At 41.5% G+C, this 15,920-nt stretch overlaps 1 annotated feature.

The window, feature by feature from the left end:
• Positions 14,964-15,637: an enhancer, noted in NCBI's record as "NANOG-H3K4me1 hESC enhancer chr4:10965707-10966380 (GRCh37/hg19 assembly coordinates)". NCBI's record gives its function as "activates a minimal SCP1, AML or CMV promoter by ChIP-STARR-seq in naive H9 embryonic stem cells {active_cell/tissue: H9 hESC(naive)}" and the evidence as "EXISTENCE:reporter gene assay evidence [ECO:0000049][PMID:30033119]".

Here is a 15,920-nt window from a genome sequence, read left to right as displayed (position 1 = left end):
CTGAGAGTCCGAACAAAACAAGAGTCCCTGTTAGGAAACCTCTGTCAAGGTGGGGCTCTTACTGCTTAGTTTGTTCTCTGGATTATACTTGAAACATTAAATCATGGGACAACATTAGTTTTCCAGATCAACTCACCTAATCTTCAATTTCCCCTCCTATCTATTGAGATATTAATAAAAGTTAGAGTAGCAATCTCAATCTTTTTTTGTAGTAAGGGCTTGGAACAATATCAAGCTGTGCTTGACTTGGAGTATGCGGCAGGGATTGGCGCTGGTCATTCACGCAGGCCAGGACCCACTGTTAGGGGGCTTTGCTCACTGCTGTGCACTCAGCAGGCCTCCCTTCTGGGTGCATGCTCAATGACATTTGGTCACACTTTACCACTTTGCTGCACTGAACCCATTGCGCCTATCTCTGAAGATGTGAGCAGCAAGAGGAGGGTCAAAGTTGCAATCAAGTCAAATGACAAAACCAGCTAATGCTTACTAAGCACTTACTCTGAGCCAGTTAGTGTTCCCAACACATCTTGTATTAACGTATTACATTTTTAGGACAATATAATAAGGTAGGTGTTATTGTTATCTCATTTAAGAGATAAGAAAAACTAAGGCATGGAGATATTAAGTAATTTGCCATGGTAGCACAGCAAATAAGTGGAGGAGCTGAGAGTTAAGCTCAAGTAGTCTTATTCCTGGGCCTACATTTTTTAACGTCCTTACCATGTTGCCAGACAGACAGAACACTGACCAACATCTATGACAGACCCTAGAGCTCTGGTTTAGATGAGGTTGGATTGTGGGCTTAAGGAATGTTTTGGTTGGGCTCTCTTGGTGGTAAGGGACAGAGTCACTCAAGCCAGCTTAGGGAATAAAGGGTTGGATAATTTAAGGATGAATCTAAGTTGGAGGAGAAGACTGAGTCTTGCAGAAACCATAGAGAAGAGTTGTAATTTGCCTCATAGACACTGCAGATGGAGCATGTGTCTGGGTCCAAGGGGGTTTGAACAATCTCAGCAGGGACATTTATAGATCCATCTATGCTTCTCCACCTAGACCACTCAGTCTAACTCATATTTCCCTTTGTCTGCTCCCTTATTGCCTCTCAGGATTATGCCCAGTACTCTCTGTTCTGTATTTGTTGCTTCTGCTAACACCTGATTCCGTCCAATTCTAAGTCTAGGTATATGATGCAACTTCCCAACTCTAACTCTAGGTATACAATGCAACCTCCTTACTCTAACTCTAGGTGTACAACAAAACTTCCCAACTCTAACTGCAGGCGCACAACACAACCCCCAACTCTAGGTTACTATGCAACCTCCCAATTCTAACTCTAGGTGTACAATGCAACTCCCAACTCTAGGTATACAACACAGCCTCTCAACTCTAACTCTAGGTGGACAGTGCAGCCTCCCAACTCTAACTCTAGATGTACAGCACAGCCTAACAACTTTAATTCTAGGTGTACAATGCAACAGACAGAGGCTATGGATATCCTGCCCTACATCCGCTGCCCAGTGCTGTCTTCTCTTCTTGATGGCTAACAGCACCCTTCCTCACACTTCAGCATCTCTGCAGTGTCTGCCTATCGGCTTTTCCCAGGGCGGGTGCTTGTTCAATCCACCTTCAGAGCACCCTAAGGGGGCTCTAACACTCCCAAGGACACTCCCATCCAATGAGGATTGAGGAGTGGAAATTAGGAACTAAATGCCTCAGCTCCTGGAGGATGGATGCATTGCATACTCCTCGGAGGGTCCTCAGGAGAGAACAGGCAGCTGGGAATGCTTCAGGAAGAAACGCCAGGTACCCAGAAGCAAGTAGAAAAGTAATGAATATTAATGGTGTATTTATCTTGGGGCGGGATTTTTACAGTGGCCAGGTTAATAATTTTATGCACATTTATGCAGATCAGGAAAGAGGGCTACAGGGCTGGTGCCTAAAGGGCCCACAGCCAGAATGTGGGGGGACTTAGATATAGTTCACTGCAAGTCAGTTTCACTTCCTCTAATCCAAGGCATAGAGGGATAGACAATGTCAACATGACAAGGACCCAATAGTCACAGGCACTTAATAGATTGAAATTAATATCTGGTGTCTCCCTCAATTGAAAATGAGCAGGTGAGCTGACACCTAACAGTCTATTTTGCAACCTGAGGGATGGCACTTGCCATTTTTATTATATTCTGTTAGAAATGCAGTCCAGATCTCTTTGCCATGAAACTAGCAGAGCCCTACCCTAGATCTGTCATTAAACTGCAATTTGGTGCCAAGAAAATGGTGTTAAACTAATAATTTTTGCTTGAAGAGCATTCATGACTTTAAGAAAAGAACAAAAAAAAAGTGCTTACCATTTACCCAAAGTTTGAAGGTTTAAGCTCTAACAAAAGACCTGCAAAAAATGAGGCAAAAAGCATTTTGGAGAGAACACGGGATATGCCTCTTTCTTCTGTGCACATCAGAGCACTTTCAGACCTGAGGCTTGAGACCACACTCAATTTCTCCAGATCTTAACTTTATTTTGAGAATATTCTATTTAGGACTAGATTTAGGGATCTCCGTTCTCTGAGACAGGGTGGCAATGATAGCACCATTCATATTTTAGGTTAACACTGTGTATGTCATATTTTAAGATCATTTTTTTCTCATTTGATCAATGTAACAACCCCATGAAGAAAGCCCCTCTGTGTTTTGCAGATGAATTAAGAGGTTAGACAACCCAGCTAGGTAAACCTAACAGAAGCGTAACGGAACACAGTTATTTCTTTCTTTTAGGTTATCTTCTTTTGTTCTCAGAAAGAATCAAATAAATTACCTTAGTCAGGTGTTACCATTCCTATTTTCTTTACGGGAGGTAACTAAGGTCCAAAGAAATTAAGGGAACAGGAAGAAAACTTGCTTTGTACAGGTATGGATTTGACTTATTTTTTATTTTGATTTTTTTATAGATTTAGGAAGTACAAGTGCAGGGTTTGTTTGTTTGTTTGTTTGTTTTGAGACGGAGTCTTGCTCTGTCGCCCAGGCTGGAGTGCAGTGCCTCCATCTCGGCTCACTGAAAGCTCAGCCTCCCGGGTTCACGCCATCCTCCTGCCTCAGCCTCCTGAGTAGCTGGGACTACAGGCACCTGCCACCCTGCCCGGCTAATTTTTTGTATTTTTAGTAGAGACGGGGTTTTACCGTGTTAGCCAGGATGGTCTCGATCTCCTGACCTTGTGATCCGCCTGCCTCGGCCTCCCAAAGTGCTGGGATTACAGGCATGAGCCATCACACCCAGCCTGTTGGTTTGTTTTTTACCTGGATTGATTGCATGGTGGTGAATTCTGGGATTTTCGTGCAGCCATCACTCAAATAGTGTACCTTGTTCCCATTAGGTCATTTCTCATCCTTCACCCCTCCACCTACCTTCTCACTTTCTCACTTTTTTGAGTCTCCAGTGTCTATTATTCCACTATCTATATCTATGTATACAGATTATTTAGCTCCTGATATCAAAAATGATTTTTTTTCTTATTGGTGATAGTGCCCAGGGCACAACGGGAGTGGCTCAGATCAAACCAGGGGAGAGGAAGTCCTGACCATGAATGACACGTTAGCAGCAAGAGGGAGTAGGTGAGAGACAGTTCAATAATCCACCAAAGCCTCTAAACACCCATGGCTGCTTGAGGAGACAGCACCATGTTGGTTGCCTTGCATTCCTATTCATTCTGCCCTCTGCTTTCACAAAGGCAGGTGTTCTCTCTCTCTCTCACACACACACACACACATTGGATGCACACACAGTTCTAACAGTGTTGACTCCATGCAGCCCAGCCTTTAGAACTTTCAATTGAATTAAATTCTTAAAATGACCCACTATCATAGATAAGACACTTGCTCTGTGTAGGGTGATTGGGTTTGCTTTTTCATATGTTTTTATTTCATTTATTCTCACAGCAACACTGTGAGGGAGAAATTTTTGTTCCCATCTTATAGATGAGGAGACTAAGTTTTTGAGAATTAACTTGTCTGCCGTTACCTAGCTGAGAAGCAGCAGAGCTGATATTTCCAACCAGGTCTGCCTGGTTCCCAGACAGGGTTTTCTCCATCCCACCCCACACCCTCCAGCAGATATGCCCACAGCCCACAGCGCTAGTACTAGCCACACCCATTCATGTGCTCCTTGTTTATGGAATATTCAGTTTGTGCCTGCCAGAAATTGGGTAACAGGACCAGGCCTTCTTTGCTCAAATGTAGATTGTCCTTCTTAAATACAGAAGTTACAAAACACTACATTTTGAGACTTATAGCCCAGAAGCACCTTACAGTGTGGTGAGTGATGGACAGAACAAGCACACAGTGCAATGGAAACACCAACAGGGCCCACGATCTGGTGCAGGGTTGGTTGGTGAAGGCTTGGTAGGGTGGTAAGCATGGCAGTTAACCTGTGGCCTGAGGGATGGGAGCTAAGCTGGGCAGAAATCAGGGCTCCAGGCAGATGGGACAGGTATACAAAGTCCTGGAGGTGGGGGTGTGGAGGACTCTATAAACTATGCTAAGGAGTCTGACAGATCATAGCAACAGTCAAAAAGGTCAAGGATGAAAAGTCAAGAAGGGTCATTATCAGGTGGAAAATTCTAAAGCTGCTACATGGGGTTAGCCATTTGCTGAGGTCTCTTTAGAAATAGTCTTGTGGATGGTAGGGCTCAGACTGTGCTTGGGTCTTGTCAAACAAAAGGAGTCCCCCATGCTGGCATGTGCCTGTAATCCCAGCTACTTGGGAGGCTGAGGCAGGAGAATTGCTTGAACTCGGGAGGTGGAGGTTGCAGTGAGCTGAGATCACACTATTGTACTCCAGCCTCGGCTACAGAGTGAGACTCCATTTCGAAAAAAAAAAAAAGAAAATGAAGTCCCCATGCTTAAGTTACACCGTTACCCTAAGAACTTGACTTGGTCTGGTTGCGTCCTCACCCAGATCTCATCTTGAACCGTATTTCCCATTTTCCCCAGGTGTCGTGGGAGGGACCCGATTGGGGGTGGTTGAGTCACTGGGGTGGTTATCCTCACGCTGTTCTCGTGATGGTGAGTGAATTCTCATGAGACCAGATGGTTTTATAAGGGGCTTTCCCCACTTTTGCTCAGCACCTCTCATTGCTGCTGCCATGTGAAGAAGGACATGTTTGCTTCCCCTTCCACAATGAATGCAAGTTTCCTGAGGCCTCTTCAGTCATGAAGAACTGTGAGTCAACTAAACCTCTTTTCTTTATAAATGACTCACTCTTGGGTATGTCTTTATTAGCAGCGCGAGAACTGACTAACAGAGAAGTATTAACGTGGTAATATGGTTTTGTTAAGGAAAGTGGTGAAGTACGGAAAAGAAGGGAGTTGGGTTGCCTAGAATCTGTGATTCTAGCATTGAGAATGTTCTGATGGGCTGACTCGGGTCATTCAGTGTTAGGAGAAAGTCTAGCTCTCTAATAGCCACTGCTGTTGTTCTGATAAAGAGTCTTGTATCTAGGCTCCTTCAGGTACTATATTCTAACTACTACATGCTACAGATAATACATAAGGTATACTTCATTCTATTTCCTATTTTTCACAATGGCCCTCTTAGTAAGAGATAACCATCTCTATTTTATAAGTAAAGATAATATGGAGGCTTAGAAAAGTTAATTAACTTTCCCAATGTTACACAGGTGGAGATTGGGATAAAAATTAAATTTCCATCTGTCTGACTCCAAATGCCGTACTTTCACTGGTGAAAAGAGGATGTCATTAATTAATGACAGTTTCCTTTGCTGTCTTCCAAGCAAGCTGCCACCTTTCTCAGTTCAGTCTATCAAAGGAAGCCCTCCAGTCTGGCTGCTGAAAATATTGACCACAAGCTTTCTCCAAACAAATGAATACTTTAACATGTTGGTTTCCTTCTCCTTTGCTGGAGTGTGGTTAAATACCCAGAGGTTGATCACTGTTTTGTGGAGCTAAGGGAATTCAATGTCTGCTCCTGAAAGTGAACCGCTAGCTGTATCTATCACTAAAGTCCGGCCAAAACCTGAGGGTGAACTGAAATCAGCATACAGACAGACTTGCCATGAGTAAATTTCAGCCAGCCTTCAAGACAAAAGTGCCTTTGGGCACCAGCTAGGGGCCAAGGCTGTGCTTGACTCCAGAGATGTGAGAATGAATGAGCCCCGGACACTGCTCCGGAAGATCTTGTAATCTAGTTGGAGAGATAAGCATGTAAATAAATATCAACAAATTCAAGTGTTCTGGCTTAATTCTATGCAAGGTGTTGTGGGAGCACAGGGGAAGGATGTGCTACTGGTATTGGAGTGGACTGTGAATACAGTCCCTGCACTGAGCCTGGGAAAATGAGGGGGGATTTCTCACCTGGTGAAAAGGAGCCTGAGGGAGCTCGAGGGGAATGGAGTAGCATGAGAAAAGTCATGACTCAACAATGTCAGTGTATCACTGTTAAACCAAGGACTGGGTGTCCTAAGAGTGAAGCAGGTGAGGCTCTCGGGGACAAGACAGTGGGCAGATGTGTGGCAGGATCAGAAGCTTGGTTTTTATTCTATAAATGAGGAAGGTCAGGTAAAAGCATCCAAAGGCAAATAAGTCTGGCTCTCAGTTTAACATAAGAAAAAATCACCTGTAGTTTTCTTCATTTTTAAATCCTTTTTTAAAAAATTAAATAATTACTCAATCCATTTAGCTGTGTATTTCTGTTATGATATATTGTCTTCCAGGTTGTAAGCTCTTTCACGGATGAATATATGTATCTTGCTTACTTTTGTTTCGCTGCAACGCTTAACAGAGAACAAGGGCAAAATAAATGCCGAAGAATTGAAATAAAGGATAACTTTCACTGAGCACAGGGTAGGGTTGTAAGAATGCTGTTTTTCTTAATTCTTCATATACTCCATGATGTAGGTATAGTTATTTTCCACTTTCACAGATAAATAAATTGGAACTAGGGAATAACATATGACAATCCCAGGGGCACAGGTGCTGTGTGCAGTTGCTAATGTGTAGAAACGTGGGAACGCCACCCTGGGTCTGTGGGAAGGCAATGGCTGTGTTTTTGTTTTTGTTTTTTGTTTGTTTTTTTAAGTATTTTGCTGGATGTGTGAAGTTAGATTAGAAATTTTGGGCTCAGTATTAACCTGTACACACTCATCAGCAACCTCACTGAAGTGGGAAATCAGCCACAAATGGGTCTTTGAAGCCAAAATACATCAAAATAAAATATGTGCTGCCGCCCATGCACTCCTTAGTAAGACCTCTCAGAACTGCTCTTTTGGGCTGTGGAGCTTGAGAGATAGCACTGGGTAAACAAGATGTCCGAGGATCGGCTCTGATGCATCTATTGAATTATCACAGATCAAATAGAGTCAACACAATTAGATTTGCACCAAAACAGGATGAGTGGTGCTTTTATTCCAGGGAAATACATGCTCAGTACTTTCAGCATGCTGAATACTTATGCATCAGCACGGTGCTGGGTATTGTGCATCATTCAATTTGCCCAGTAAACATGTGCTGTTGACTTCATGTGGGACAGGCCTGGGGCAAGCCTGATGATGCAAAGATGAATAAGACAAGGAACAAGGGTACAAAACAGAAGACTGAAGCACAGTAAATCACCACTCTTAGGAAAGGAAAGAACAGTGGCTAGAGGACAGTTGAGGGGATACTTCCCAGAGGAGATGGCCAATAAGCTGGGGTTGAAGGATGAGGAGGAATGTGCAAGATAAGCAATAAAATAGTCTAGATTTGCCTTATTTGGTTGAATCTTTTGCTTTTGTACATCCATCTGTGAGCCCTGTCACTTCATTAATGATTTTTAAATGAAGATGGCTCAAGTTCAACAGACTCCTTAACATGTCTATATCCTAGAGTATTAGGACCACGGCATTTTTGTGAGGAGAGTACAGGGTGCATAGAGGATGTTTGCTGCAGGTATGTGTGTGCGTGTGCTCTGTTACCAGGACTCTGCTCCCACTTCTTGTGATAAAAAGGCCTTGATTTTGTTAGGTGTTCTGATTCCCTATTACTCTCCTTTCGAGTGTTTTAGGGAAAGCTAATGCTATGCCTGAGCCAGTGAATCGGGAACAACAACCAGGCACTCCTATTGTTTTTGCCGCAGTGGTTGGTTCACAGATGGGCAAATCATCACATCCGAGTCAATGGTATCCACTAAAATTAGTGCTGAGGCTCCTTGGAAATAAACTCCTGTTCTGATCTTGAAACCTGGGAAAAGAGAGGTAAGGTCTTGAATGGCTACTTTCATCTGGCAGAGATTAAAATCTTACCAATCAAAGGCAGAGCTAAGGGATAGAGGAACTGAGTCTTGTTGATATTATCCGACCCTGGCTCTTGACAGAGCTGAAGTTTCATCTACCCCACTGGGATCTTCTATTGTGCTGAGGCAATACATTCCCTCTTTGCTTGTAAAAGTTAATATCCTGCCTCATACTGTGTATATTTTTGAAGGGCTATTGCTTCCCATAGCAGAAGTAAAGACTTGGTCAACAGGGAATCTTACAGACAAGGTTTTTGCTTACAAGCTTTTGTATTGGTGTAGCAAGATGCAGTCTCTGAGTGAGAGAGACCTGGCATGTACAGGCTATTCCAGCTACCTGGATAATGTCTCCTGTTAAGATCCGAAATATGCCACCAATTACTTGCTACTCTGTGACCTTTAGACAAACCATTCCCTACCCCACTGCTTAGCCCACAAGTTTCTGGTTCTACTGCAAAGGTATAATTCATTGTTTATCTCTTCTGACTTTTGTCTTATGGATATCCCCTCAAAATGAGAAATGTGAGGAACAAGCATGAGCTCATTTTAGAAAATAATTTACTTTTTAGCCTATCATAATTAAATCAAAATAGGCTTATTGGCTCGGAATCTAATCTACTCGGCCCAACACCTCATACTGAAGAAGCACTACGTTGTAATGAAAGTAACTCTGGGCAGGCCAGGTGTGGTGGCTCATGCCTGTAATCCCAGCAGTTTGGGAGGCCGAGGCAGGCAGATCATCTGAGGTCAGAAGTTCGAGACCAGCCTGGACAACATGGCGCAACCCCGTCTCTACTAAAAAGACAAAAATTAGCCAGTCACGGTGGTGCGTGCCTGTAATCCCAGCTGCTTGGGAGACTGAGGCAGGATAATTACTTGAACCCAGGAGGTGGAGGTGGTAGTAAGCTGAGATCGCACCACTGCACTCCAGCCTGGGTGACAGAGTGAGACTTTGTCTCAAAAAAAAAACAAAAAAAAAAAAAAACAAAAAAAAAAAAAGAAAAGATAAAAGAAAATAACTCTGGGCTTAGAAAATTCTGGGTATAAGTCCAGACATCATCATTAATGTGTGTGAGATCTTGAGTTGGTCACTTGACTACTGAGTGTCTGTTCCCCCTATGATAGGGACAACAACACTATCTATTATACAGCACTATTGAAGGAATCCAATTCTTACTGCATGTGAGTTTCAATTAGAGGGCCTGCAATCATCTAAGCTTAGTGTTCTGTCAATGCATTCTGTTGAACACAGCCCTCTGTGCCTGTGCAGCTGACCACAGTGGATTGAAGTAGGAAGAGGGTATTCGCCGTACCCAAAACAGCCAATCCATAGGCTTCCAGTGATGGAAAGAAGAGCCTGGTCTAGAAAAGAGGCTCTGGGAAAATAAGATTCCATTTCAGAAATTTAATATGAAAAACTTGGTGTAGATGAGATGGTTAGCAGCAGAATCTGAACTGGAAATTGCCTTACAGAGAGAAAGGGCAAGACAGGTAGGATGGCCCATTGGTGTCCTTGTTTAGCTTTTTTTGAGGAGCTTGAGACAAGGGGTTTGTGCTGATGGTTTCTTTGGGAGGTGATTCTAGGAAGTGTAACGGAGGGAGGGCAGTGACATAGGGAGCGAGAAAGGTCAAAAAATATTAATAAGCAGATAATTGATGTGGTCCACCTTTAAATTATTTGGGGGTCCTTTCCTAAATATGTCAAGTCTGGCTTAAGTATACCTTCCACGTCCTCCTCTAATTGCCGTATCTTAACACGAATGAAACTATATTTTGGCTGCTTATTTAAATAGACCGGACATATCATCGGTCCTTATTAAATATTTATTGAAGGAATTAATAAAGAACAAAAGGATGGAGAAAGAAGAGGGGGAGAGGAAAGAGAAGGAGAGAGAGGAAGGGGCATCTTCAGTGCACCTGGGAAAGGCTTTGGGGATATTACAGGAAACAATGCAGAGATGCTTCAGGAAACTGAGAGTTAGATGAAGAGGATGGACAAATATCATAAGGAGCTGTTACGAAGGGGAAAGCGCACAGAGCTATGAGAGTATAAACCACAATGCTAAGACCCTGTTAGGGGCATCTGGGAGTCACACTGGAGGCAGTGAAGGAAAAATGTCTTCAGACAATGTCAACATCCAAAGGGATGGCTGAGATACCCTGACTGACACTTCAGATGTAAACAGCTTAAAAGTTGAATCAGACTGAAAATATTTTGAAAATGGTTTTAATCATTATCTGAGTTTGGAGGAAAGTAAGGAATATGGAGAGGTCAAAAGCATAGATGAAAGTGAGAAATCTGAAGAGTGAGTGAGAACCAAAGCCAACTCTTCAAAAGTGGAATCCAGGGAGTCTCAGGGCTGAACTGAAGACCTGAAACCATCTGCTGAAGCCAGTGGAGGAGGAAGATCTTTGTGGATACATTTTAAAAACAACAACAAAAACCCTTGGTTTCTTTTCTTCATACTCTTTATATTCCTTTTATGTCTGAATTCAAAATGATTTATGATGGATGCTATGCATGATTTTGAACATTTTCCTCCTTGGGAAAATTTGAGGTGTTAAAGCTAACATTCTGATCTTTAGTTCAACTTCCCAAAAAGTGAAGAATTCCAAAACAATAGTTTAATTGGAAGATTTGTGACCTACTTTAAGTAACTGAAAGTTAAATGTATAAACATCTGTACATCTTCAAGACTGTTTGGTTTGATGTCATGCACAGTGGTGATCCGTGGGTGGGGCAATGGGAGTGGTCGATCGACGTGCAGAAAACAAAGTGATTTATTGTCTATAAAGAATTCTAAAACAATAATAAAACCAACTGGAAGTCCATATGCTTTGTGTATCACCAGATGCTAACAACTCTACACAAGCTTCGTGATAAAATATATACTCTTCCTGAAAAATCCTTCTGTTGCTCTCAGTTCTAAACAATTGCTATGTTTACTTCCAGTTTTTGATCATGTGCATGTAAGTTTCATATTAGGATTTTTTATTAGCTGTCCTTTGATAAATACAGTATTTTTACACGGAAGTTAATTTGGAGAATTCCCATTTGCACAGTGGACTCTCATACACACAAACTCAACTACATGTGCTTATTTAGAGAATAAAATCATTTTCTTTTTCTTTTTTTTTTTTTTGAGACAGGTTCTCCCTCTGTCACCCAGGCTGGAATGCAGTAGCAGGAACACAGCTCACTGTAGCCTTGGCCTCCTGGGCTCAAGGAATCCTCCCACCTCAGCCTCCAGAGTAGCTGAGACAGCAGGCACACATACCAACATGCCTGGCTACTTTTTTTTATTATTATTATTTGTAGAGACAAATTCTCTCCATGTTGCCCTGGCTGGAAAGTAAATTTCTAAGTTTAAAATTCTTCAAGCTTGTGTTGGGTGCAATTCATGTCTCTAATACCTGTGGTTTAATATATATTTGTATGTTTAAGCAGTAAAATTTATAGATCTATGGGATTACTTTTCCTGTGTTACTTTTTCCTTTTGGTGTAAAGCTATAGATGAAGTTAATCAGAATAAAAAATGATTGCAAATTACAGACATTTATATACAAAAAAGAATACCAGGAGAAATAACAAAAGATGCTGGATTTTTTTGCCAGAAGAAATCTAAAGGACAAAGTTTGAATGTCTCCATCATTTTCACCAAGACCTGAGCACTTGTTCTAAAGCAATGGATGTAATAATCTCAATGTCTTCTATCATTCAGTCATTTCTCTGATACTGGCAGAGGAAACATATTTTTGGAAGTCTTTACCAAATAAAATAAAATTTTTAAAATATTGTCAAGTGAAGATGTTTTAGTGGAAAATTTTTCATTGCAGAAACGCTTGAAAGCCATTGGAATTAATCTTAAAAAATACACATGGACAATATTATAACTTATAGAATTTATTATTTATAATTTTCTGCCAAATGTATCCTTACCTTTAAGACTTTTCCTATTTGTATGTATCTATTGTCTATGAACGATCATTTTCAAAATTAAAATTAATAGAAGGTGAAGTGTCAACAATGACCAAAAATAGACAAATCTGGCAGTATTGAGAACTGAACATAAATATGCAAATATCAGTTTTGATGAAGCAATTGACAAGTTTACATACATAGTAGGTGAGCCAGTAGTGTGAATGCTTGTCAAGCTTCCAAAGATGGGAATTTTGATATAAATCTAATCTGCATTAGTCTTTTGTGTTATTAATTAAATTTGTATAAATATTTGTAGACTCAAAGAGAATGTAGTGTTCTTCCTAATCTTACATGATGGAAATACACTCTTTTGATGTCTGTGCAAACTGTCAATCTATTTCTCTATTTAATCATTTGTAAATTTTAATTAATTGTTTTACAACACAAAATTAATAGCTTTCACAGTCATTGTGTATGGGATGAAGTTTATGAGTCCCCAGAGGCCCTCTTCCCTGGCCTGTCTCCTGGGTCCCACATGCTTGACTGGGGCATGGCAGAACCCAAGTCACTTGCAAGTTGCAAAGCGCTGGTACAATCCTTGTCACCTGTGCCATTGCCTTTACGTTTGTGCATTTTGTTTCTTGTTTAAGAAGTCTTCCCCACCCTAGAGGATTAAACATATTTTTCCTATATCTTCTAAAAGTTTTATAGTTTTCTCTTTCATATTTAATTTTTTAATCCACCTGGAATGATATTTATGTATAGAATGATGTAGTGATTCAATTTCTTTCCTCTCCCCATTGATAACCCAGAGTCCTAGCATCATTTTTTGAAAAGTCTATTCATTCTACACTGATTTGCAACACCAGCTTTGTTATAAATCACATTTCCATATTTTCCCAAGCTATTTGTGAGTGCTGTATTCTGACTGTTATCAATTTGCCAATGCCTAATATCACTGGTATTTAAATCCTCTAATTTTATAACAATTTGTATCTGCAAAAGCAAGTCCACCTAATCCTTTTTTCTTCTGGATGTTGTCTATGATTGATCTTAGCATTTCCAATTATATTTTAGGTTTTAGCTTGCCAAGTTCCATGAAATACCCTGTTGACATTTTCATTGTAATTGCATTAGATTTATGGCTCAATTTGGTGAGAAGCTTGACATCTTTATAGTATTGAGTCTGGTCTCTCTATCTATTCTGTAAGGTCTTTATTATCTTTCAAAAGATTTTTGGAATTTTTGTCATAATGGACTTGCATAAACTTTGTTGGACTTTTTTCTAGGTAGTTTATGTTGTTATATATGTATCTGTTTGAATATTACACATTTTAGGTTTTAATATTTTACATCTTCAAACTAGATAAGGAACTCAACTCACTTTGGCAAATTTATTTTGTAATTACAAACTTGCTAACTCTCTTATTAATTCTAATAATTTTATCTTTTGATTTTTCAAGGTTTTCTGCATAGAAAATAATATCATGTGTGCGTAAGAAGAGTTTTCTCTCTTTCCAACCTTTACACATTCATTTTTATGGTCTTGCTTTCCATGCTGGCTAGGCCCCTTGGGACAATGTTCAAATATAATCAATGATCACATGGCTTACTCCCAATGACTTCAAGAAATACCTTTAGCTGCATCATGGGTGTAAAGAAGTTCACTTTTACTTTAAAAATAATTCATAATTATTATATACACTTTTTATATGCTTACTATGTTGATAGTTTTTTAAAAAATTAAAAACAAAATTTTAAACAAAGATCTAGAAAATGAACAGAAGTTAGCCAATTCGGGGGAAAGGGATGTTCTCAGGTGTTCAATCAGAAAAAGGAAACCAAGAGTTAGAGAGCCAGCATGTGACCTATTCTAGGCATGCTGGCTGGAGACACCGAGGAAGAGGAGTATCCTTCCAAATGAAGTTGCTCCAGTTGTCAGGGGGCTGGTCTTTGGGCCTTGTGACAGGCGATTGGTCAGCATTACTTCCTACCCATCCTCCACACGTGCAGAACAACCCCAAGCTGAGGAAAAGGCAGAAATCTATTCATTCCCGATTTTAAAGATGATGAAGAAATTGGCACCAGCTCCAGGCCATGCTCTCGAGGCCCAGCAGCCAGATTGTAAGCATCTGCTCTGCCAGATCATGATGAAGCCTGACCTGTTAATGACTTAGTCAATAGAAAAAGCAAGTGGGGAGTCTTAGAGTCATACAGATTGTTACGGATGGAAGGAAGCTTGGAGTTCATGCCTTGGTCATGACTATTTCAATGACATTATTTCCCACCCCTCTCCCTCTCTCTGGCAAGAGACTGCCTCATTGGAGCTCCCCAGAGGCACCTCTGGCTTTGATCTGGCCCTTTCTCCTGTCTGGAGTGCCCTACTCTATGTCTCTGACCTCTCATTGATTTTCCTTAGTTCAGCTTCAATATGACTGCCCCTGGGAAACTTCTCTCTCTCCCTTGCCCCCAGAGAAAGACCAAATCCTTCTCTGTGAATGTGTTCTTTGTGTCTTGTATGTGCCTCTATGGTCGTGCTTGCTCTTGTTTCTATGTTCAACGGTGTGCTCCTCTGGAGGACTGTTCACTGCTCAATCACTTAGCACAGTACCATGTCTACAATCATGGGCGTCAGTGTTTATTTAGGCTTTGCTATGTGCCAGGAACTGTGCTGACCACTTTTCAAGACTTACTACCGGGTGTTTAAAAATTCCTGTTAAGATAGAGGTGGGGAGTGGCTTGTTCAAACCCAGAGAGCTAGTTAGAAGCTGATTTCGAATCCTCTGACACCAATTCCACAGTACCCTGCCTTTCCTGCAAGCACAATCATTGCATGTAGCTTGATCTCTGTGGACTCTTAGCACTCAACCTTCAGATCCGAGCTGCAACGAGTTTCCAGAGGTTTCTCAGCCCTGTGTTTTCCGATCAGCAAGCTTCCCTCGGCCAATATAACCAGCATCTCTAAGAATAACTACAGAGAGGGCTTTGCCATCCCAGGGGGTAAAACTGCCTGTAAGCCAGCATTCCTATTATTAGAGAAGAAAGGAAACGGCTCACAAGAGACCTCCTGCCAGCTCATGTGCCCTCCCACTACTTTCTTTTCACTTCATCTATAGAGTATGCTTGCCAAACGAGCAGGCTCACCAGCCCTTCCACTGCTGTTCTTCTACCGTGTGCATGTGCCTGTGTTCATGTGTGCACACATAAGTGAGTGTGTGCCTGTGTGTGCATGCAACTATGTTCACATGTGTACACACATATGAGTGTGTGTGCCTGTGTTCACGTGTGCACACACGTGTCAGTGTATGTCTGTGTAGGTTCATTGCCTGTGTTCAAGTGTGTATGCACGTGTGAGCACATGCCTCTGTGCATCTGCCTGTTTTCACATGTGTACCAGTGTGTGCATGTGTGTGCCTGTGTGTGCACCTGTGTTCATGTGTGTACAAGTGTGTGCACATGTGTGCATGTGTGTGCATGCACCTGTGTTCACGTGTGTATGCATATGTGAGTGTGTACCTGTGTGTGTGCATGCACCTGTGTTCAAATGTGTATAAATATGTGAGTGTGTGCACGTCTGTGCCTGTGTGCATGCACCTGTGTTCACATGTGTATAAACGTGAGTGTGTGCCCGTGTGTGTGCATGCGCCTGTGTTCACGTGTCACACGTGTGTGTGCCTGCACCTGTGTTCACGTGTGTATGCATGTGTACGTGTTGTGTGT

The sequence above is a fragment of the Homo sapiens genome, chromosome 4 (genome assembly GCF_000001405.40).
Source record: "Homo sapiens chromosome 4, GRCh38.p14 Primary Assembly".
In the NCBI taxonomy this organism is placed as follows: domain Eukaryota; kingdom Metazoa; phylum Chordata; class Mammalia; order Primates; family Hominidae; genus Homo; species Homo sapiens.
The sequence above is the reverse complement of the archived record's forward strand: the minus strand, read 5'-3'. Positions and strand labels throughout refer to the sequence as shown.